Below are 24140 nucleotides of genomic sequence, written 5' to 3' on the forward strand. Positions count from 1 at the left end.
ACTGTAATCCCAGCACTTTGGGAGGCTGAGGTGGGAGGATTGTTTGAGGTCAGGAGTTCAAGACCAGCCTGGTGAATATAACGAGACCCTATCTCTACAAAAATAAAATAAGAAATTAGCTGGGTGTAGTGGTGCACGTCTGTGGTCCCAGCTACTTGGGAGGCTGAGGCAGGAGGATCCTTTGAGGCCAGGAGTTCCAGGTTACAGTGAGACGTGATCACGCCACTATACTCCAGTTTGGGCAACAAACCCTGTCTCTTAAAAATAAATAAATAAACTTTTAATATAAAATTAAATTTATATAAAATCCAATCATTAAGATAAAAACATTTATTAACATTTCGCCTTTTTTCTTCCAGTATTTTCTCATGCATTAAAAAAAGAAGGCAGTAATACTGTACATTCAAACACCCTTTTAGTAAAATAAAAAACTGAACTGGTTAGATAGTTGAAATCAGTAGGATGGTAGAGGATGGGAAAAGGGAGGGATACTTTGCTGAAAGGCAGAGATAGTGATCTCTTACTGTCTCTGAGACTGAAGGGTGGTCCTCAATTTAATCTTTCCTTCCAGGCATTCTGGAGCAGGGAAGAATCTGACTTTAAAATTGTTCCCTACTTTCTACTGTTTCTCCGTTATTTGGCATGTCCTCCTGAGTTCAGAAGAATAGGTCTTAAGGGTTTTATGCTGCTGAAAGTAATATCCCATTAGATTGCTGGTGGAGCTATTTTTTTTTTTTTTTTTTTTTTACAATGTGAAAGCTGAATTGTTTCTAAGTTCTACTAAACATATATGTACCAGTCAGTGCTTTTCAACTGCGTCAGGTTCCTCAACCTGTGAACCTACCCAGTCCTTTAGGAAAGCCCAGGTGTGATGCAGGAAGTAACCTGCCCTCTACCACAGTACCTGAATCAGGCATGTGCTCTGGAAATGTTGACCTGACATGAGGACAGTCTGTCTTCTCTTTTCTTCACAGATTTTTTTTCTTCACAGATTTTGAAGCCAGCTTCATAAGGCTATTGGACAAAATAACGAATGGTTCTCGAATTGAAATAAACCAAACAGGTAAGCTCCTTTTAGATTCCTAAAAGCACCTCCATGCACTAAAGCATTCCTGTTTCTCACTCTTTTTTTTCTTTCCTTTTTTTTTCTAGTCAGTCTCTGCTTATCCAAATCACTCTTTTTAATGGTATAAATATTATGTTTAAAGCTTTACTAATCACTTTGTATTATATAAATCACCATTAAATTAGAATTTTGGGGGGACTTATATGAGGAACTCACCATATAACTTTGGAGTTATATGAGGAAGCTGTGAGTGTAGATCATAATAAAAGCATATCATTCTAGATCATTTTAAAAAATACCGTGTTCCGATGGAAAGACCCAGTTACCTCTCTGTGATATGATTTTCCAGAGACATACATGAAGTCTCCCAATTTGAAGGGCGTACATTTGATTTAAGGAAGTTAGAAGACTGAAAATTTCAGCAAAGTCTCTCCTCTTTTTTTAACAATAAATATTTTATACATAATGTTTACATGAAACTTTCCAAAGTCCATTTACTTATATTATCACATTAAATTATTTCAGCCAACTCTGTGAGGTAGTTTATGGGCTGAATTCTATTTATTTTAAATTTTGTTTGTTAAAATAAGTTTACACAAGTATATGCAAAAGATGTGAACATCCCTTCACCTCTTTCCTCTTCCATTCCCCTCTCCAGGGGTAGCCACTGTCACAGCATTTGCTTACATGGACATTTGCATAATTCAGACCATCAGCAACATCATGCTCTTCATATTGTTCTTCAGCCAGCATTTTTTTTTTTTTTTTTTTTTGCTAGTACAAATGTCTCAGAGAACTTTCCCTTCCAGCACATGCAGGTCTTCCTTAATATTTCTGTGGGTTGTAGTATAGTATTCCAGTGTATTGATGCATGATAATTTATTTAACTGCTCCCCATTGATAAACATTTAGGTTGTTTCTAGCTTTTATTTTTTCTATTAGAAACTTGTGTCTACATTGTATGGAAAACTGTGGCAAACATCCGTTGGCTGACTCCATTAACTCTCTACCTTTCCGCACACATTCCACAAATAAATCTCTGACCTTTTCCCTATCTTGGCTCTCTTAAGGCAAGCTTGGGTTCATATGTGGTCCTATACCACATGAGATATTCTGATCTATAGCTGCATTCAGCCATATCTTATGGAGAACAGGTTTCGGGAATGAGATACTCACATGTCTTTTGCCAGCTATGAGTCCCTTAATTTCCTTTAGCTTGTTTGCTTTGAAATTGCTGGAGGTTTTTTCAGTAACTTTCATTGGTGATCCAGAAGACGGATAATTCTATTCTTTTTTTGTGTCTGTGTGAGACGGAGTCTTGTTCCGTCAACTAGGCTGGAGTGCAGTGGTGCGATCTTGGCACATGGCGACTTCTGCCTCCCGGGTTCAAACGATTCTCCTGCCTTAGCCTCCCCAGTAGCTGGGATTACAGTTGCCTGCTGCCATACCTGGCTCATTTTTTTTTTTTTTTTAGTAGAGACAGGGTGATCTGTCGGGTGATCCATCCACCTCAGCCTTCCAAAGTGTTGGGATTACAGGCATGAGCCACAGTGCGTGGCCCAAGTCTATTCTTTTCTAGTCATACTGGCAATGTAGATTGAGGAGTAAGACATTTACATGATTCTGCTCCCACTACATGTCCTTTTAATTTTCCGCATCAGAGTAGTAAAAGCCTTCATTCTGATGATCTGGCCAGTTTCTCATTTGGCTAATTTGTATAAATAAACATACGGATTTGAAGCATTTAGTGAATATATAGTCTTTTTATGGTTTTTTGATCTAAAGGATGGTTTTGTGGCCCTTACAACTATTTCAGATAACTGACCCAGAGTCCATTTGAGAAGTGTTCATTACTTTGATCAGAATATGGTCCTGATTGTGATTGTTTGGATTCTAGTGTTTAATGTAGTAAAACCTACATTTATTTTATGAAAGTCCCAAGAACTTTTTCCCATTTGAGTGACTGAACATGCCTCCTTCCTCTAATGTTAAATATATTTTTGGTAAATTGTGCCAGAGGGCATTGCAAAAGATTTTGTGCAGCAGAAATACCTTGTTCAACCATTTATGTCCCCCTATGTCATTTACAGTTTTTTACATTGATATGTAAATCTAGTAAGAAGCTTTTTGGAGAGCCAGGCATGGTGGTTCATGCCTGTAATCCCAGCACTTTGGGAAGATGAGATGGGAGTAAGAAGCTTTTTGGATAGCCAGGCACAAGGTGGTTCATGTCTGTAATCCCAGCACTTTGGGAAGCTGAGCCTAGGAGTTTCAGACTAGCCTGGGCAATATAGTGAGACCCTTTCTCAAAAAAAAAAAATGATTAGCTGAGTGTGGTAGCATGTGCCTAGGGTCTCAGCACTTTGGGAGGCTGAGGTGGGAGGATCACTTGAGCCCAAGAGTTCAAGACTATCCTGGACAACATAGTGAGACCCTTTCTCTAAAATAAAGAAAAAAAAGAAAGAAAGAAAGAAAGAAAAAGAAAAAAAAAATTAGCTGGTCGTGGTCCCAGCTATTCTGGAGGCTGAGATGGGAGGATTGCTTGGCTCTGGAGGTTGAGCTGCAGCAAGCTGTGATCATGCCGCTGTACTCCAGCTTGGGGGACAGAGCAAGACCCTGTCTCAAAACAAAACAAAGCTTTTTGAATGATACGATTATGTGAGAAGTGAATAAAGATAGTAGTTTCCACTAAAGCCGTAAAATAATATTAGGCATGTCCCTGTATCAATATTAAATTAAAAGACCTACTATTAATGGCACTGAATGCCATAAAGTACTTGCCTTTTCTTGGCATCATGTTTGGTGAATGAGGTATATGAGAAATATCATTTCAGGGGCCCTAGAGGATGCTGGTTGCTGGTGTGATGATTTAAGCACATCATTTGTAATTCCCCTCTGTGGTCAGCCTAGTCTGAGAATGTGCTGTTGGGAGACTAGGGTGCTTATTAGGATCTCTTTTCTGTGCCCTGCCATGACTCTGGCAACTCAGATGGCTCAGAGAGGGGTTTACTTTATTACTGATTATTAAATTACATTCACAGTTTATTATTGTTACAGGGGCTTGACAGTAGTGAGTCAGCTTTTGGAGCGAAGTGTGGGCTCTTAGCAAGATGGCATTTCGAGCACTCTTGGATGCCCTTGTCAGGCTTTCCCCTTGGAACTCACTGCCTTCATTACCTTTGTGACATTTTAGTTTTTTTCCTGCTGAATGTGGCTCTTTTTCTTCTGGTTTAAGGAACAACCTTATATTATCAGCCTGGCCTCCTGTATGGTGGATCTGTGGAACATGACTGTAGCGTCCTTCGTGGCATTGGGTATTACCTGGAGAGTCTTCTTTGCTTGGCTCCATTTATGAAGCACCCGTTAAAAATAGTTCTACGAGGAGTGACCAATGATCAGGTTGACCCTTCAGTGAGTATTGAGAACAAACCGTGGTGTGGTTTTTGTTTTGTCTCTTGTCACAACCCAACTTGTGAGAAAAAAGTTCCTTATAAGGCACAGTTTTATTACAAATGTATATTGCTTTTGTTATTTACTTTGAGATTTAGAGGTTAATCACTCCAGGAGGCAGATGAACCAAAACTTAGGATCATCAAATTCAGGACTATTGTTAACAGTTACCAAGGTGCCTTTTGTTGTTACCTAAGAACCTTCAAAACAGATGCTCTCCGTCTCATCATAGTTGACATGAACTATAGTTCTGCTGGCTGTATATGTGAGAGTGGAGTTTTTGTAAGATCCTGTGGTAGCTGAGGCTGGAGGGCAGCTGACCAAAATTTTGGGCAGGAGATCATAGCTCCTTGGCATTGTTACAGCGTAATCTTGACTTACCCAGGCTTCAATCATAAACTCAAGGGCTTTCTTCTTCTGAGAAGAGTTTGCAGATTAGGAAAAGGGCATAAAGTCAGGAAAGGAATGTGTGAGCTTTGGTAGTTTGTGGGTGTCAGCAAGCTTTTGATTTTTATTTTATTTTTTTTCACCAAGGGTCATGCCAGAGCAAGCTTTTTATTAAACATGCTAATTTTTCTGCAGATATGGGGAGAATGGTTTAATATCAAGCAAAACTTTTTATTGTGATCACAACTGTCTTAATGCCATTCTAGGATGAAGTGTGTGTGTGTGTGTGTGTGTGTGCACGCGTGTGTGTGTGTGTGTGTGAGAGAGAGAGAGATTAGAGAAGTCTAGAGAAGTCCTGTCCAGGCCTCCCTCCCTTGTAGGAAGGGGTGGATTCCCTGCTTTTGGATGCTCTGCTGTCAGAGAAGATATCTTAAAGCTGATGGCCGGCCGGGCGCAGTGGCTTACGCCTGTAATCCCAGCACTTTGGGAGGCCGAGGCGGGCAGATCATGAGGTCAGGAGATCGAGACCAGCCTGGCTAACACAGTGAAACCCCGTCTCTACTAAAAATACAAAAAATTAGCCAGGCATGGTGGCGGGCGCCTGTAGTGCCAGCTACTCGGGAGACTGAGGCAGGAGAATGGCGTGAACCTGGGAGGCAGAGCTTGCAGTGAGCCGAGATCGGGCAACAGAGCGAGACTCCGTCTCAAAAAAAAAAAAAAAAAAAAAAAAGTTGATGGCCATGATGCAAAGTACTGAGGTGGTATGCTTGTCTTTACCATTACAGGCCAAGACCAATGAATGGATAGCTTCTGAGGCAGAATGTGAATTATGTAGCTTTTCTACTCAGGGAGGACCAATGAGGTGATGCTGTGAGCCCCAAAGTAGAGATTGCTGGTATTCATCAAGATACCTACTAGGGTATAAACATTGTTAATATGTTCTTAGGCAATAAAAACTTATTCTTCATTTCTTGGAAATTCAGCTGCATAAACTCTTTTCCCTGGGATACTGAGTATAGTACAAGATCTGAAATTCTTAAGCTGTAAAGGAATGTTGCGTAAACTGTTGAGAATATTTAATTAAGTGTTTTTTTTTTTTTGCATTTTCTAGAAGACTATAGGAAATGAGTTCTTTGGATAAAAGAATGAGAAGAGGTATAAATATATTTAGATTGGAAGAGAGAAAGGTGCCTCAAACAGTGGGAAAAGGCCCTGAAGTGTACAGCAGTGTGTGTATCTGTTTTGTGCTTTTTTTTTCTATACTTGCTAATTATCTTAAAAGCTTTTCTCACTGGCAATATTTTAAAAATTTTATATGCTAACAGTGACAAAAGATCAGTTGATGAATTTCTCAGAAATGGGACCCAAAAAGTCTGTTTTCATATGCTGTAGGAGTATCTGCTTTTGCCAGCTGCATGACTAAAATGACCTTGGTTGGTATCTGGCTCCAGGCCAGGGTAAAATAAATATACTTAATCCTGAATAAAGAGTGACTTCTTCAGCTCATTCCATGGCTCCTTCATTTCTAGCTTCTTCTTTTCTTTGTGGTTTCCTCATTAGTTCATGTCTGCATCTACTCTCTGTGTACAAGGATGAAATGAGTGATTCTGTCCTTAACAAACTCCTAGTCTCGTGGGGTGGACAGCTGGGAACTCATTTAGAGAGATTACAAGGATGAATACCCTTGGGCTCGATAGAGGTAGAAGCAAAGTGCTTAGTGTTAGAGAGCGTTTCTTGAGGAGGGAAAATCAGAATCAGTCTGGGTTTTAGGAAGATAATTCTGGAGGTTGAGTGAAAGATGAATGGAGAGGTGATAGACTAGCTTGGGCATTATGGAGATGGAAGGAGAACGGAAGGGGCAGATAGGACAACTAATTGGAGGCGGAGTGAGAGGAAGGGGCCATAGATGACTTCATGATTTCTGTCCTGGTTGCAATAAAGGATCATGATCGTAAAGATCATTCCCATTTGACAAAGGGAAGAGGAAAATTGCAGTAGGATAATGAGTGATGCTTTTTATTTTGGTCTTGTTCCCTGGGATGTTGGCAGCCTAACCATATAAGGATTTCCAGTTGGCAGTTAGAAATTATTGTCTGGAGCCTCAGAGACAGGTCATCACGATCTTACCTGCTGATACTTAAGCCTCTAGGAGTATGAGATTGATTAGGCTGAGGTTGAACACTGGTGGGTTTGGCTGAATTCATCTTTCACGTGTTTTTCCTTTGACATGTACAGTGTGGCAGTGGTGGCGGTGGTGGTGGTTGTTGGTAGTGGTGTGTGTATGCATCTGAATTGGTTGTTCATGTTTGAAACTCCAGATTTTACATTATGATAGGGCAGTGTGACAATACTGAATGGTGGTTCCTCCATGACAGCCATCAGTTGGAGGTGAGTAGCAGCTGCCTTTTTTGGATAAGGTGTGAGCTTTCAGCTGGACACAGGTCACAGCTGACCTCATCATTCATTTAAGCTTCCTCTCTGCCCTCTGTGGGCATTAGGGTTTCTGCCCCATGGTCCAAGGGACTGAGAATGGAAGAAGGAGAAATGAGTGTTTAAGGTGTGAGTGGGAGAAGAGGAGCTAGAGACAGAGTGACTGTGGAGATAGAAGTATTTGGAGAAGCCAAGCAGGAATCAAGTTCTAAGAAGTCAGGGATAATCCACAGAATCACTCTTTGCCAGAGTTGAGTCAGACTGAGCAGTGAGACATTTTTATTGACCTTTGAGAGAACAGTGTTATTGGAGTATAAGGACAGGAACAGACTGAGGAACGAGTAGGAACTAGAGCTATTGGAAAGTTAGGAGATTCTTCCAGAAGGTTTTAAGAGCTGAGGTTGGGATTTTTTTTAGACTAGGGGAAACTTGAGCTTGCTTGTAGGCTGAGGAGAAGCTGTAATGGAAAAGAAAATAATTAAAAGAGCTGAGGGTCCTTGCCGAAGTCCAGAGGGGATAAGGATTGAAAACAGAGGTGATGGAATGAGCCTTATGAAGAGGAAGAAGACATTTTTTCCTTAGAGGCAAGAGAATAGAAAGTGGGGAGAAATTTTAAAGAGAAGTTTTAGAAGGTCTCCTGACTCTTGGTAGTGTGGCACCAGAGCTCCCAGTAATTATTTGTTGGTGCCAACAAGCTGCTCCAATGGTGGATGAAGATTCCATTCTTTTCCAGTTCCCTCTTAGAGAAGGAAAAGAAGTACAATAATGTCTCCCATGTACTGGGCATTATTCTAGGTGTACATATGTATGTATGTGTATATCCATATCTGTTTAATTCTTCTACCAACCCAGTGAGGTGGGTGTTTCAGACAAGGTAACTGGAGAGCAGGTTTCTTCCTCTCTTTTTTCTTTTTTTAGCATAGATTGATTACATTTTTACCTTTTGATTGATTGACTGCGCTGTAATGGTAATACCTTTGCCCTGAGCTGCCACTTAGGGTTTGATCTTTGCCTTTTCTCTCTGACCGCAGAGTGGACCGATCACTTTCCCTTAAGCAGAACTTACAGGCCACCATCACTCTGCTAAAACTAGAATGTGCAAAGCTGCAGGAGACTGGAGAGTGTTCGGCCCAGCCTCTCATTTTACGAAGGAGGAAACTGAGGCCCAGGAGACAGGGAATTGTCTAGGGTCTAACAGCCAGTGAGAGGCAGAGTAGGTCCCAAGCCCTCATCTGCTTTTCCTGCCCTTGTCCCACCGCACCAAGTTGCCTGTCTTCCATGTCATATGGAGAGTGATAAAGGGACAGGACTACACCTGGAATTACCCTTGGGCTTCTTGCTGAACTAAGTAAATTTGGCTTCACTCTTTGTGACTCAAGGTATAGGAAGGATGAGCCAGAAGGAATGCTGTGTTTTTTCACCTTTTTTTCCCTCGAGAGAGCCGGTGGCTGCCCAGAGTAACTGCAGCATTGCATCCCCTACTTTTTCAGAATCTGACTTGGCCTTCTCCCCAGCTGCTCTTAAGCCTCGACTGTATTCTTCTTTATCTGGCAACGCCAAATGCATATATTAAGTTTTTGAGTGTGCTTTATTTTTTTATTTTTAGAGAGAGGGTCTCACTCTGTCTCCCAGGCTGGAGTGCAGTGGCATGATCGTGGCTCACCAAAGCCTTGAAGTCCTGGGCTCAAGTGATCCTCCCACCTCAGCCTCTCAAGTAGCTAGGACCACAGGCGTGCAGCATGCCCAGCTTATTTTTTTTTAGTAGAGATGAGGTCTCACTATGTTGCTCGGGCTGTAGCTTTAATATTTAAAATTAGCTAATCTTCAGTGGTTTTCCTAGTTTCCCCTGCCCCACCTGATCCATTCTAAGCATGTTCTTAGGCCTCACAGGTCATTCCTAAGTCTGGTATTTTTCTGATATCACAATATTTAGTTGGGGCTTCTTAGCCTGTTAGAGTTAGTTGTAACTTGGAGATGGCTGGGCTTGAGCCCCTTGCCTTAGAGATAAGGAAATTCAGATAGTTGTGATTTTCTTGTCTGAGGCAACATAGCTAATTAGAAGCAGAGCTGGGACCAGGACTAGGGCTTTTCCTATGCCTTCTGTGTGGTGCCTGCCCTCCCTGCCAGCTGACAGATCCAAGAAGGGAACAAGTAATGGAGTAATTTTCTTTCCCATGTAGCAGTTGAGGCAACATTTGCCAACTCGTTAGATAACAGTACCTGATTTGAATGCCATCTTTCTACTCTTATCAGGAATCCACAAATGGATCAGAAAGACCCCAGACTTCCTGGGAGCTCTGAATGCAGGAGGAGATAACAGTTACACGTGGCAAAGTCTTGCCATTAACTATGGATGTTGTAACTAATTGTAGTTTTGAGTTTGTGCTGCTTCCTGTAGTTTGAGGCTGTCATCACCCCGACTCCCCAACTCCCATGTAAAATCATCACCTTCCCTTTAGCTGCCTGTGTGGTGCTCATCATTGGCATTCTTAGGTGAGCTGTTGAATAGTTAATTTGGTTTGCTTTGACTCGGAATGCTACCGGCTCTAAACATTAAATAACCCTACTGGACAAATGTTAATGAAAAAGATGATTTTCTTCTGTACGTTTATACCTATAAGAATGAGTAGGGTTCTCCAGGCTGGGTGTGGTGGCTCACACCTGTTATCCCAGCACTTTGGGAGGCTGAGGTGGCAGATTACAAGTTCAAGAGATTGAGACCATCCTGGCCAACATGGTGAAACCCCGTCTCTACTAAAAATACAAAAATTAGCTGGGCGTGGTGGCACATGCCTGTAGTCCCAGCTACTCAGGAGGCTGAGGCAGGAGAATCGCTTGAACCTGGGAGGCAGAGGTTGCAGTGAGCCTAGATCGCGCCACTGCACTCCAGCCTGGTGACAGAGCGAGATTCCACTCAAAAAAAAAAAAAAAAAAAAAAAAAGTAGGGTTCTCCATTTGTTTTCTACAACAGTCCAGTCTCTCCATGCTTTTTGCATGATGCCTCTGATGCACACGATGACTTTAAGGTAGGTGTTGGTCTCCATGTCATGAATGAGGAAAGTGCGGCTCAGAGAAGCCCAGTGGCCTGTGAAATCACAGTGTTCCTCAGGCAGAGCCAGCCCACTCGCTCAGTTATATGCCAGCATCCTTTCTGTTTACCACACTGCATCATCTACCTGGTTGCTAAGCCTTACTTGTTTTTTTTGACTCTTGTATTCTGCTGAAGGCTTAATTAAACTTTTCTTTTCTGAAATAATTTCATAGGTTGATGTTCTTAAGGCAACAGCACTCCCTTTGTTGAAACAATTTGGGATTGATGGTGAATCATTTGAACTGAAGGTAAGAATGTTTGAACTGTTGACCATATGTTCCTGTGGAAAACATTTTCCCACTGACTCATTGGAAGAGCTGTGTGACTCAGTGTATGTGTGTCACATTTGAAGTCACCAGTTATCAGAAGACTCACAGGGCTCATGAAATAAACACTACAGACTTTGAACTGAAAGGGACCCTTTAGTAATAACAATAGTAGCTGACAGTGATGTTGCACTTCTTTTGCGGTGGGGGCCGTTCTAAGCAGTTTACAAATACTAACTCCTTTTCTCCTCACAACAGCTCCGCCCATGTGCCTCAGCTAGCAAGCAGTGGAGAATAGATTTGGGCCATATTGGCTCTCTGATCTAAATGATCTGGATATAATTTATGTTCAGGGGCTCCCAACCTGGATGTCCCTGAGAATTTTCAGTATTTCCAAAATCTAGTAGAAGTAGTTTAAGCATCTGTATTTTGTTGAATTATATCAATCCAATGTGGTAAACCGTTTAGCATCTCTGCCTTTTACATTCATGTTTTAAACAGGGGAAATGACTTCATTTTTATTTAATAATGTTTTGGTAGATCCGTTATTTGCATGGGAGGAGAAAAAGGGGTTTCTGATTATTAAGAAATGGGCTCAGATGATGGACTAGGTCAGCTCTATATTTTAAGGATAAAGAAGTGACCTGTTCAGGGTTAAAGAGATGAGTGGCAGAGCCACTTGGGTAATCGACTTGGACTTTGACACATGCTGCACAGGTACTCTCTAGGAGCCAACATAAGGTGCTGTTGGTCTTGAAGGGAATGACAGATTGAATATGGAAGAGCTATGCCTTGTAAGGAAGCATCTGCTGGTGTAAACCTTCCTGGGCAGGGTGTCAGGGTAATCCATTGCTTTGCTGCATCCTCGCCTCATCTTTCTCACTCTCTGTGTAGATTGTGCGACGGGGAATGCCTCCCGGAGGAGGAGGCGAAGTGGTTTTCTCATGTCCTGTGAGGAAGGTCTTGAAGCCCATTCAACTCACAGATCCAGGAAAAATCAAACGTATTAGAGGAATGGCGTATCCTTTCCATTTATTTGGATTTCTTTTTTTTTTGTTGTTGTTGCCTCACTAAGATAAGAATGACTAACAGCTTTACTTCTTCCCGAGGTTATTTACATTTTAGACTACAACTTTGAAAAGTCTTAACAGTGAAATTGTAATTGCTGGCTGAGTTAGGATGTTCTGTTATCTGCCTCACCATGACTAGATTGATTGAGTCATTCTTTTTTTTTTTTTTTTTTTAATTTTCCGGTTAACATTTAGGCAAATGGCTCTGATGTATGTGATCCTCTCTCAAGGGCTTTGGTTTGGGGGCCATGAATATACTGCAGTTCCTCCCTCAGAAGACGTCATCATTCGGTGAAGGAACCAAATATGAAAACACACAGTTCTGATATAACATGCAAAATGATATGTGCAGTGGGGTGGGGGCCTGGAGTAGACAGTGGTCAATTTTGTCTGGAGGACCTAGGGAGGCTGGAGTAATCATAATGAATGATATCTACTATTAAGTATTTACTCTGCATCTACTTCAGTAGTCACTTTACATGCTTTTAAGCCTCACATTGACCCTTGAGTTCACTTACATCCTTTTTTGCAGATGGGGAAACTGAAGCTTCAAAAGCTTAAGGAATTTCTTAATAATGTCACACTGCTAATAATGACAGAGCTAGGATTTGAACCTGGTCTGTGTGACTCTAAAGTACAGGCATTTAATTTTTACTTTTGCCTATAGAAAGGAGCCTTGAAGAACAGAGGATTGCAAAGTAGAGCAAGAAAGGAGGAGGGCTTCAGGCAGAAAAGTGGGCCTGAGCAGAGGTGGCAGTGCACAGTGGTTCTAGGGAGTGGCAAGTAATGAAGTGTGGCCAGATTTCAGGTTGGTCTATGGCATTTGATGGTAGAATGGGGCATGAAGACAGGCAGGGGCCAGTGAAGAGCTGAAGGTGGCTGGAATCAGATACTATGCAGAACGCAAAGAAAGGAGGGTGGAACCCTGTGAGGCCACCAAAACTTGAAAGCAAGAGTTAAGTAAGGAGGGAAGTAAGAGTGGGGAAGAGAATAAACAAAACATAGCTTCCTGGAAGCTCAGGTCAGCACTTTAAAAGGCCCTGAGGAGTTAGCATTGGGGTGGGGGAAAAGCTGAGGGACTCAGCAGCAGGCTGTCACTGATGCCCTGGGGAAGAGTGCTGGATCCCTATCCCAAGGGACTAATTCTGGGTTGTGGAGTGAAGGGGAGGGAAACAGCGGCTTGTGGGGACCACTCTTTACAGAACCTTGACAGGAAAGAGAAGGAGAAGGAAGGATGAGGGAGTAACTTGATGAAGCGAGAGTCAGGGAGACTCCCTCCCTTTTACAAAAAGATTGGTAAGGATTTGAGTGTTTTTGTAGGTTGTTAATGTAGATGAAGCAAAGTAATGAGCTGATTAAAAGCCCAGGTGCTGGAGTCAGAAAGACGTGGGTGCCGACGCCGGCTGCGCCACTTACCAATGGAAGCATTTGGCCGTAAGCCTTGGTTGCCCGTATATCTTTAGTCCTGTTATAACTGCTGTGCGAGACTGTCATGAAGGTAAAATGAGATCGTAGTTGCACAGTAGGAGGCACTGGTGTGTAAGTAGCATTGGGTAAATGGTTACTACTATTCTTTTTATTCTTACTTGAGAGGGGATGGATTCAAGGCCACAGGCATACGGTAAGGGTGGCTCCAGGTAGAGCTGTGTGGAGGTGAGTGGAAGGGGGTTGGGATGAGTTTTCAGTTGTTACCGAGTTAGGATGGGATTGAGGGTAAGGGGATGGGCGGGGTAGGATAAGAGAGTGTGACAAGGATGGTAAAGATGTGCCTTCACAGGGGAGCATCATAACTGAAGATAAGAAAAAGGCTGTGTTCCAGCAGTAAGGTCCTTGCTGAAGGTGTAATGTTAACACAGTGCCAGCTGCATGGCCATGTGGCTATATCCAGTGGCAGTTGGCAGCCTAGAGGGAGGAGTAGAGAACGTGGGAGGACCAATTTCATCCAAGGTTGGATGCAGGTTGGCAAGGTGGGTGGGTCCTACAGGAGGACAGTTGGAGGGTGGGTGCTGGAGCATTGGGAAGTACATTCCTCACTGAGGATTGTCACAGGGGCTCACCAGCCTGGACAAAGCAGGTCAAGGGATGAGAAACTTTAACAGGCTTAAAGATCAGATCTAGTGGAAATAGATACATGTACTGTGTAGGACAAGAGATTGTGTTTAGGGAGTTTTGTTTTGGGATTTCAGATATTAAAAGTGGTAAAATTCTAGGTGCTGACAGGATCTGGGTGGGAGCAGGTGTTGGAGGCCGTAGAGCAAGACAGGCTGTGGGATGACTTTCCTGGCGGGAGTGTGACAAGGAGGGCAGACCAGAAAGCCTGCTTGTCAGGGCGGGGGTGGGTGCTTAAGGTCGGGTTTTGTGTTCTCAGGAGGTTTGGCAATGGTATTACTTGGAGGAAGAAAGGTGTAGCGTGGACTGTCTTTTCAGAGGCCTCGAATAGCTTGAACAGTAAGTGGTGAAGGGCAGGGAGTAGGGTGGGCTGCAGAGCCATGTGCAGAGAGAGTGCTGGTTAAGATAGAAGCTCAAACTTGGGTTGCTGCCTGAAGTTCTTTTTAAGGATCATCAAAACCACAGGAATACATAATAACAAAGCCTTCCTGGGTTATGGTCTGTTCTCTGCATGGCTGTCCCCCAGCCCATGTAAGCGCCCAGCCTTGTGTGTACCAGGAGAGAACAGGCAAAAGGAGAAATGGTTCCTTTCCTAGGAGCCCCCAGGTTGATGCATAGTTACATTGCCCAGGTGACTTTCTAAGGTGATATTCAACTCTAGTATCCAAATCCGAGGAGCTGGAATAAGGTTAATTAGGTTACAAAGAAATGGAAATGCAATGTAACTAGGTGTGTGTTTTTGAAACCAAATGTGCCTTTTCTACTTGAATTCATTCTTATTAACAGATGCATTGTATTCCACCATATATAGAACCCAAAATCAAATCCTGTTGATGGCCATTGAGTTGTTTTTTGCTTTTCACTGTTGCCAAATACACTGCGGTTAATGGCTTTAACCACAACATTTTTGGCAATGGTGAAAAAAAGTGTAATAAGTGTATAGGAATACACTTTCCAATACATTCCAATAAGTGTACAGGAATACACTTTCAGTACTATTTTGGGTTTGTCTGGGGGGTAGTTGTTTTTTTTCCTCCTTATTTGAGATGTGTTTCCTTAATGCTGTATTGGCGGCCGTGAACTTTGTTTGGAATCCAGTCTCTGTAGTCTGGAAATGTGATTTCTGGCAGTGTGCTCTGTTTTGACACAATCTTGTCATAACAACATGGGTTTCATCACAGTGGGGTCCCCCTTGTTCTCTCTGGGTGTGCAGATGGTCGTGTCCTTTGATGATGATGCTGGGAAATGGGGAAGGGCTTTCCAGGGGAGAACATAAAAGTTAAAAGAGCTGTAGTGCCGGGCACCTTGGGTGTAACTATGTTCCTCCCTGGCTTCTCCCTCTAATGTTCTTGGAACCTTCCCTGTGTAGAATCTGAGCCAGGAAGAGACTTGTGAGGTCCCAAGTTCCTCCCTCCCTGGAGGCAGGGGATAGGACATGGAAATCATCCCCAATATATCTCTGACTGGTTGAGGCTTCCTCCTGGCTCCCCAGGAGAGTTGACACAGTGCCCTTTCTCAGATCCCTGTCTGTTAACCAAACATTTCAGCCACTGCTCTGCAGAGCTGCCCATTTCACAAACACCTCAAAGGAATGTTGGTTTGAATGGAGATCGCCCTCTTCTCCAGTTTTGGAGCCTGGGAAAAAAGAGCTGCCTTTGGAAAAAGCTTGAGTTGGTTTTGTGGTTTTTTTCCTTGCAAGGCTGGTTGACTACTGGACTAAGCTTGGAGGTTGTATTTCCCATGGGAGGGCTCAGACTGGGAGAAAGAGGCCCACTCTCTTGTGTGCATTTGTGGTTTTAACTGAATTACTTCCAAAGTGCATCTTTTCCCTCTTGCGTTCTACAAGATGACCTACCAGCCAGGGCCCAGAGGGAGCTGGTGTTGGTTCCTGCCAGCAGCTGTGACTACACAGTAGTTACCTTTTACTTAATGCCACCCACTCTTTCTCACCCCTGCCTTATGTGGGGCGTAAGAGAAAGGAACATTCTGTTTTAGTTTTGCAGTGCTGTCCTAGGAGCTCATGATTTGGTACATGAGAATTAAGTGAAAAAGCTGGCAGTAAAGGGGGATAAGTTGGAATTCGTGGGATAATCTAGTTTCTTTTCCTTGACTGTAGGAAAGGTACTTTGAGAATCAAGCTCTCTCTCCACCTACTGTAACATACACACACACACCCCTCTTAGCTTTCTCTGACATGGAACATTGGGGAAGGGGAAGAGTGGGAGTCCCATATGGACTGTAGCTATGGACTTGTACATTGGTATTGGTTCTTAATATGGTTTTCATAAATGGGCTTTAGGAGGTTCATAAACCTGAAAAATTTTCTGCAAGATTGTGAGTATATATGTTTCTCAGGAGAGGGTCCATAGCTTTCATCAGATTCTCAGAGAGTTCTCTGATTCTTGAAAGAATAAGAACCTCTGCTTGGGATTTGAATCTTGGATAAGTAATAAAGAAAAGCAATAGCTGACATTTGTTGGGCTCCTACTACACACTAGGCATTAAGAGCTTTACATGCATTTTATTTCATTTGTGCCTCCAAACTCTGTGAGGAAAGTGTTATGATTATCCTTCTTTTACTGATTAGGAAATGACAGCACAGAGAAGTTACCACAATTAACCTGGAGTGATGCAGCTTGCTGGAGCTTGGACTTGAACGGAGATAATCTGATTCTAGAACTTGGGGGCTGTTAGCCATTCCTTAGTAGGACATCCATGCCAAGCCAGATGGTTCTAAGCAACTGGCTTTAAAGTTCCTTTGCCTTCTTCATTTCATTGCCTGAGTTCTAGTATAGGATTCTGTAGGCCCTGAATTCGTACTGTTTGTTAACCTTCGTGTTTTTGTATTGGGATGGGTGAGAGGAGGAAGATGCTTTTTGGGAGTCAGATCTGTTTAATTTTGAGCAAGTGTCTTAGTTTTTTTGTCTTAGTTGTCTTTAATGTAAGTCCTAGAACTCGGAGCCATGGCCCTCAACACAGGGTTACTGTGAGCATAAAGTAAGGTGATAATAGATGTGAAAGAACTTTGGGAGCCGTGAGCTCTGTGGGATTATGTGCTAGGATGGTGACATCTCTTGTGCTTTCCTGGGGACAGTGGGCAGCCTCAGACCTCAGAAGGACAGCACCTGCTTGGTCCAAAGGGTATGAGATTCAGGACTGTTTGTCTAAGCTGTCTGTGGTCAAAAGTACATTCTGGACTGAAGAGATGGTGATGTAACTGGGCTGTGTGTGTATTGAAAAATCCCTCTTTGCTCTTTCCTCATTTCAGGTTTGTCCTTTGAGTCAAGTTAAATATTTATTGAGCATTTCTGAGTACAAAAGTGGTGTATTGGAGAGTTGGGAGGGATTACAGAGGTAAAGCCCTTGCCCTTATAGAGTGTGTGGTCTCATTGAAGAGCAAGAACAAAATGTGCATATGTGAAGAGAGATGTATGGTAAGTTCAAGTGGAGCTAACACTTGGGTGCCGGCTGGAGGGTTTCAGGAGAGAGATTGGGACCTCGGGCTGGGAGAATGGGGCAAAGCAGCTCAGGTTGAGGAATTTGGTCAGTTTGGATGGGTGGAAGGAGTTGATGGTGCAGAGCTGAAGATGGACACAACTGAGCAGGCTGGGGGCTCTAACAACAAGATATGGGAGGACCAGGAGCCACCGAGAGACTGTCACCAGCATGAGGAAGATTGGTCTTTTAGTATGAAGTTCAGGATGGGTCAAAAAAGGGAGCTAGATACCAGATCAGGTCATGTATCGTCTCTGAGCACTTTGTTTCTGCAGTTCAGATGAAAATTAAATATGTTATTGTCAGCAGTTCTTGAACATTGGGCTGGATTGGGCAGATTATATACCTCGTTCTACCTGTTGGACTTGTCACGTGGGGTTTGTATCAGGGTAGTGGGAAGGTCACATGTTATTTCTCCATTTTTTTAGTTCCAAATATATAGCCATCTCTTGACCATACATTGCACATTGAAGTGCTCAATACATACTTACTTTTTCTTTGACATGTGTGGTTGGGGAATGCCAGCTTCTGTTATAAAGTCTAGTTTTAGGCAATAATTTCCATTTCCTCAAGCACCAATCTTTTCACTTGAGTTACTAATATCTTCCTCCTTTCTTTTCTGGGGTGCCCTATTGTAGGAGTGCTAATTATCAATATTTTAACCATAAGGTAGCAGGTGTGAGGAGGCTGTGTTATCCACAAGTGGAGTAATTAATTCTTAAATAGTAGAAAATAGGCCCTGTAAATGAGAAAAACCTTTTTATATATTTATAAATAGCAGCAACCATGTTCTTTCACTGAACTTTTTCTGCTTCTCCCATCAGCATACCAGGAGTCAGATTGGGATCGCCCAGGTCCTGTGTGGTGTCTGTTCTGGGCTTAGGTTCTTAAGAGAGAGACTCATTGGCTACAGCAGTGGGAATGGACAGAGAATAGAAAGTGTTCTTAGGTGTTGTGCTTCAGAGGGAGCCTGGATCATGACCCGCAGAGAGGCAGGTGTCTTTACACCTTCCAAAATTGACTTGAACCATTTCTAGGGGAAGCGTGTGGGTAGGAAGTCAGGGGGTGGGGTTGAGGACCTCCAGCTTTATACTTTCCACTGTCTCTATTGTTTGGGTGTTTTTGCCATGACCTTTTATAATAATGAAAAAAATTTAATTATGGTACTAATTCAGTAAATTCAGTTGGAAAACAATAGATTTGGAAGTCCCAGTTTGTTACTACAGTTCCACAAATACTTGCCAGCTTTATAACTGATTTTTCTCTGTCCTGGAATTCAAGCAGAATGACATCCTTAACTCCAGGCTGCAGGTACTCTGTACGTGTGTCACCTCAGATGGCGAACCGGATTGTGGATTCTGCAAGGAGCATCCTCAACAAGTTCATACCTGATATCTATATTTACACAGATCACATGAAAGGAGTCAACTCTGGGAAGTAAGTATCTGTGTTTTTGAAGTCTGTTTCTGCAGCTTTTTCACATGCCTGTTCTAGTTGAAGTTAAAACTGCCAGCTCTGAGGTTGCGCAGCCAGAGGAAGAACAATTTCAGAATTAATTTCTTTCTGCCTTATTGCCGTTGTCACCAACAGGCATTTCTTGAGTGCCTGTCACATGGAAAGCATCCCAGTGGCTAGAGCTGGAAGCTAAGGGTCTGGTTCCTAGCCTTGGGGAATTAAAACCTTTATCTATTAATACACAATGCTTTAGGCTTTAAATTCCATCTGCACTCTGTTCCAACAAAAAAATTAAAGTGGACAGGTTCTTCCACCCTGAGTAAATAACAGTATAGGGTTAAAATCTTTTGTTATCTAAGTGTAAGTCAGCATCTCTCTTCATCAGTGGAAACAACATATTTACATCCAGAGAAAGTTGTTATTGCAGACGTGAATTTGGTTTAGTGAAAGCCTTTGCTTTGCTAAAAAATAAAAATTTTAAAAATTAGAAAAAAATTCTAAGTAAGGAAAATAAGTTCTTAAAAAATGATGCTCTATGTAATGAAGATACCTGTTTTAGGCTTTGCTTGTGTATTTAGCAACTAGGAAGTTAGAGAAGCAATTAAAGCCACTTTCTTAAAATAGGAAAGTGTTAAACATACAGAAAAGATCAAAGAATAGTACAGTGAACACGGAGATATACTCCTGCTGCCTATAGTTAACGATAAATATTTTGCCAAATTTGCTTCACTTGTTTGTGGGTTTTGTTTGTTTTTGTTTTTTACTGAATCATTTCAGTGTGAATGGGCATCATTTCACTTCACATCTGAGGCTTTGCAGGTTGTGTCTCCTAAAAATAAGAATATTAGAGTCTGGGGTTAACTGTTGTAGGTTAAGAAGTCAACTTCTTCTTAAGTGATGCCACAGCTGATCCTTTTTCACAGCTGTTTCACCTGTGGTTTCTTTTAATTTCAGCAAAAAGAGGAAAAGAGAGTAAAGGAGGGGGGTGAGTGTTTTATACAACCTTTGACCTTTATAAGGCCCAATGGAAAGATGAAGGTAGTTTTAGAAATACAGTGGAGGCTCATAGTCCAAAGCAACAAAGCTGGTGGCGTCATAACGCTGGGGTTGGGAAAGGATTTGTGGGCAAAGCTGGACTTTCTGGCTTGGAAAAGTCAATGATGTTCCTAAACCTTTGGTTTATATTCTAGTAACAACAGTATTTTCCTCATTTATGCATTGAGGGTGATGATGCCTATGTTTTGGGGTTATTGTAAAGATCACACATATAAGCCATTAATACCTTGCTTGTCACATGGTAAGTCCTACAGAAATGGTAGCTCCTGATGCTGTTCTTTCCTTTACTCTCCCTTGTTGGCCACAGGTCTGGAATTATGTGTCAGCTATTTTCTGGAGAAAGGGGATTTCCGAGGGATGGGGGAGGACAGATAGCAGCAGAAGCTGTCTAAATGGCTTCATCTCGATAGTCCCTTCTCTGCTTTGCCTCTCGCTTTATCAGAAAGTGTCCTGGCATGAAGCAGAGCAGGCCTGACAGCCATCCTGCCACCAGCTTATAGTGTGGCTTTTTGTTATACCACTGACTCAGCTGACCCTAGAGTGTGGTCAAGTCCATACTTACTAATGGTGAGTAGAAGCCTTACACGTAGATAAAGACATGGACATGATGTAGACTGTGGGCCATCAACTCCAAGCCCCATTTTAAAAATTACATGTAAAACCAATGTGGGATTTAAATTTGTGTTTGGTTTTTTTAAATCTCCAGTTACAGATGACTAATAGTGCTCTTCCTTCTCTGTTATTAAAATTATAAAGTCATGGATGGGTATTTCTCTCTTCTGATTCAGTGAAGTATCCAGTAAGTCAGGCTTGTTCAGATGTAAGAGTTTATGTTGTGGCCATGGCCTAGAACCTTAGGGGACAGCACTTCTTGGTGGCCTATGTCAGCGCTTTGGCCAGAATGCACATCAGTCCAGTGTGGTCCCATTTTAACTCTCACAGTAATTTTTTTTTTTCTTAATTGGGTCCTTTACCAAGGAAAGCTGTGGAGGCTGGCCTTTGCAAACTATACCAGTGCATATCTCTAATGAGGTCACCTGATGACCAGCAGCTTGGTCAGCCTAACTTGAAATAGGCCTGATAACACATATTTCCCACAAGTTGGGAAGAAAAATTAGAGTAATTTACATAGAACCTAATATATATTCTTTGTCTTTTCTAAAGTTACTTAAATTGTGTTAAATGGAATAATTCTGATTAAATATAAAGTTTATCGTAATGACAAATACACCTTAGAAAACTCACACAGATGGAAATTCTTGGGAAATGCAGGTAAATGGGTAAAGCAGCAGTGGCACCTTGTCTTGCTTTCTCTCCCCTTCATCTTCTAATCTTCACTTTTGTATGCCACTGCCTGCAGCCACTGCTGGACACCCTCTCACTTCTGCTGGTCAGGTGACTCAAAGGCAATTTGGGATTATGCTAAAATTCTCTAGGTGTCCCATGATGATAGGTGGATAGCACAGTGTTAGATTGTTAAGCATAACTCAGAGTGCCTCCCAGAACCTTTGATGAAATGGGTAACTCACTGCACCCCCTTTCCTTGGCAGGTGTTGTTAACCTTCGACTGCATAGACAAGCAAATTTTTTTTTTCCTTAAGAATCTAAGGACTGACTAACATAGTTCTTCTATATAGTGAGCTCATATAGTGCATTCGAAACATTAATTTTATACATAGTTTTAGTGAAACAAGTATTTTGGCTAGTCTCCTGCCAGACACATAGAAAGTATTGTGTGAGCGTGTGTTGAGTTGTGTTAAAGGGGGCAGGTCTGTGTTGTGGTTGCATACGGATTGTACTGCTGGGAAGGCCGCCACACCTTTCCTGTTGATGTGTCTACTTAACAGTCATTGGGAAAGTAGAATTGAGCTGTCAAATCTTAAAATTTTGTGGAGAGATGCTTGTTTTTGGACTGATTTTCTTTTCTGGTCAGCTAGTAAACTAGTAGCAACTCTATGAGGTTAATGCAGCCAGAAAGAAGCCTTTGAACACAGTGCCGTCAAAAAAAATGTTTGTCTTCTCTTTCCGTTTGCTGGTGAGTGGAAACCTCACTTGGTTAAACCTACTCAGTGTTTGTGCCTTTGTATCTCCAGGTCTCCGGGCTTTGGGTTGTCACTGGTTGCTGAGACCACCAGTGGCACCTTCCTCAGTGCTGAACTGGCCTCCAACCCCCAGGGCCAGGGAGCAGCAGTACTTCCAGAGGACCTTGGCAGGAACTGTGCCCGGCTGCTGCTGGAGGAAATCTACAGGGTATGTCCACAGCTTCCTCTGATAGAGGAGTGACCAGGAAGCAGTTTGTTTTCTCATTCTCATCTCTTGGCAGCTTTCGTCCTCTTCCAAGGGCTCAAGCCAAGGAGATAATCTGTTCCTGTGCATTAAGCAGTTCAGCCTTAACTAGTTTAATTGATTAGCTCAACCAGTCAGTGAGTAGAGATCTAGCCCCACTGGGTTGAGACACAGGGCAGGTAAGTTTTAACAGTGAGCCAAGGAAAGAACTGGAACAGTCATAAAGGAAAGGGAAGGTTAAAAAAAGGAAGCAGGTAAGGTAAGGTGGTGGCTGACACACTGCCCTAGCCAAAGAGAGTACCATCCCGGCACCCCCCGATTGCTGCCATGTGGGAAGATGGACTCATTCTTTTTAGATCTTTTAAGAGAAGCTAGAAATCTGGATTTGTATGTGACAGTTGATTCATATATAAAACAATAGCAACAGGCTAGATTTTGCAATGCATTCTAGAGCACAGAATCTCAGTTAACAGATAAGTATTAGAAAAGAAGAAAAAAATTTAAAAAAGCACAGAATAACTAGGGAAGGCAGGCCTGTGGCACAGCATAGCAGAAGCTTTGGAAAACCTAAGAACATGGAACAGAGAAGGGGTAAACTGATGTTGAAGACAGACTCAACCAGTTGTCATTTTGCTTCTGCAGGTCTGCTGGTGGGACACAGCTGAGACCAATTTGCCCTCTCAGTTGCCACAGTCTTTCTCTGTTGATCCTTTCATTGCAACGGGCACATATGCATGCACACACTTTTACTGTTTCCTCAAAATAGGTGAGGTGACCTAAAGTAAGGGAGAAATTTGGAAAGATGATGGCAGAAAGAATAAGATACAGTTTCCTAAAAGATATATTCCCTGAGATCCCCTATACTTGGTTAGAAGAGGGTCACAAATCTGGGTCCAAGATTTCTGTTAGTCTGCACCGTCTTTTGCCTTGGTCCCACATCAAGAAGGTGAAACCTTTTCTCTGACATGCAGAGTCCAGGAAAGGCTCTGAAGGATGGTCGTTTCTCTGCTCTGTGTGTTAGGTCCCAGATTCTTGAACTGAGCATCAGCAAGAACTATACTCTAGTTGATTTGCTGTTGTATGGTGTATAATGTTTGTAAATCATCTCTCTTCTTCCCCTAAGGAGCTGAAGAGACTTCTTTCTTTGTATTGTTCTGTGTATTTCTTCTCAGTTGTCAGGCATCTTTCTGGTCTCCAAGTAAGTTTTCTCGTTTATGGTAGCAAAAATCACATCTGAGCCAAGTTAAATAAAATCAGTAAAACAGGTAAAGTGGCAATTTAGTTTTTCTTTTAATTCTTCCTTTTGCCACTGGTTCAGTTTATTAATCAGGGTGGTAGGGTAAAGCCTGACTAGCCATAGGTATTGATCCTCAGACCAGCCTCACAGTGGAAAACAGCTTATATTTATAGTCTACTCCCTTGATCCAAGTCAGTGTTCTTGAAAATGTCTCATTGGTCCAAGATGGAACACATGAGAATGAGCTGTTTCAGAATTAATTAAATTTCCAGGTCCTAAATGGCTCTATTTAATGACCATCTAATTAAAAATGGAAGACAGTGGACCTATAGTTTTATTTTCAGGAGAGTAGCTCCAGCCCCTCTACTCGGCATTCACCTGGGAAATAGTAGAAGAAGGAGATGAAATCTTCCTGAAGGAGGAGGTATTCTTTGACAAGTCTTGTGCAGTCACGATCTGGCCTCAGATGTTTTGGTGCTAAATCAGTTTACTTTTTTATGCTAAATTTAATAATTTTGTGAAAAATGGGTAGTAACTAAAAGTTTGGGGTAGATGATCAAGAGGTTGCCCTGCCAGTTACTTAATTCACGAAGTTTGTGGTCTACTTATTTGTAGGGGGGCGGGAAACAGTGCATGCAATGTGTTTCCCTGGGTCTCTTGTTGTGCAGGATTTCTTTTCCTGGTCCTGTAGTGTCTGGCCGTGGCTGGTCCTGTAGTGGCCTTCTCTCTAACTATGGGGACA

At 42.3% G+C, this 24140-nt stretch overlaps 1 protein-coding gene across 4 annotated transcripts in view, besides 2 other annotated features; it reads left to right on the forward strand.

Annotated features, from left to right (window-relative positions):
• The window catches only part of RCL1 (RNA terminal phosphate cyclase like 1), a 68123-nt gene that overhangs the window by 29613 nt on the left and 14370 nt on the right, over positions 1 to 24140 (forward strand). The window contains exons 2-7 of one of the 4 annotated variants that reach the window (NM_005772.5): positions 992 to 1063; positions 4302 to 4477; positions 10598 to 10672; positions 11585 to 11709; positions 18676 to 18801; positions 21969 to 22125. In NM_005772.5, coding sequence (NP_005763.3) covers positions 992 to 1063; positions 4302 to 4477; positions 10598 to 10672; positions 11585 to 11709; positions 18676 to 18801; positions 21969 to 22125 — 731 coding nt within the window. Of the gene's footprint in view, positions 1 to 991; positions 1064 to 4301; positions 4478 to 10597; positions 10673 to 11584; positions 11710 to 17211; positions 17304 to 18645; positions 18802 to 21968; positions 22126 to 24140 lie in introns of those variants that run through there. The other 3 variants (NM_001286700.2, NM_001286699.2, NM_001286701.2) reach the window with 3 other exon arrangements.
• Positions 10673 to 10967: an enhancer, noted in NCBI's record as "tiled region #4294; K562 Activating DNase matched - State 5:Enh". NCBI's record gives its function as "activates a minimal TATA promoter and a strong SV40 promoter by Sharpr-MPRA in K562 cells {active_cell/tissue: K562}" and the evidence as "EXISTENCE:reporter gene assay evidence [ECO:0000049][PMID:27701403]".
• Positions 19753 to 20047: a silencer, noted in NCBI's record as "tiled region #10284; K562 Repressive non-DNase unmatched - State 14:Gen5'". NCBI's record gives its function as "represses a minimal TATA promoter and a strong SV40 promoter by Sharpr-MPRA in K562 cells {active_cell/tissue: K562}" and the evidence as "EXISTENCE:reporter gene assay evidence [ECO:0000049][PMID:27701403]".

The sequence above is a fragment of the Homo sapiens genome, chromosome 9, assembly GCF_000001405.40.
Source record: "Homo sapiens chromosome 9, GRCh38.p14 Primary Assembly".
NCBI lineage: Eukaryota > Metazoa > Chordata > Mammalia > Primates > Hominidae > Homo > Homo sapiens.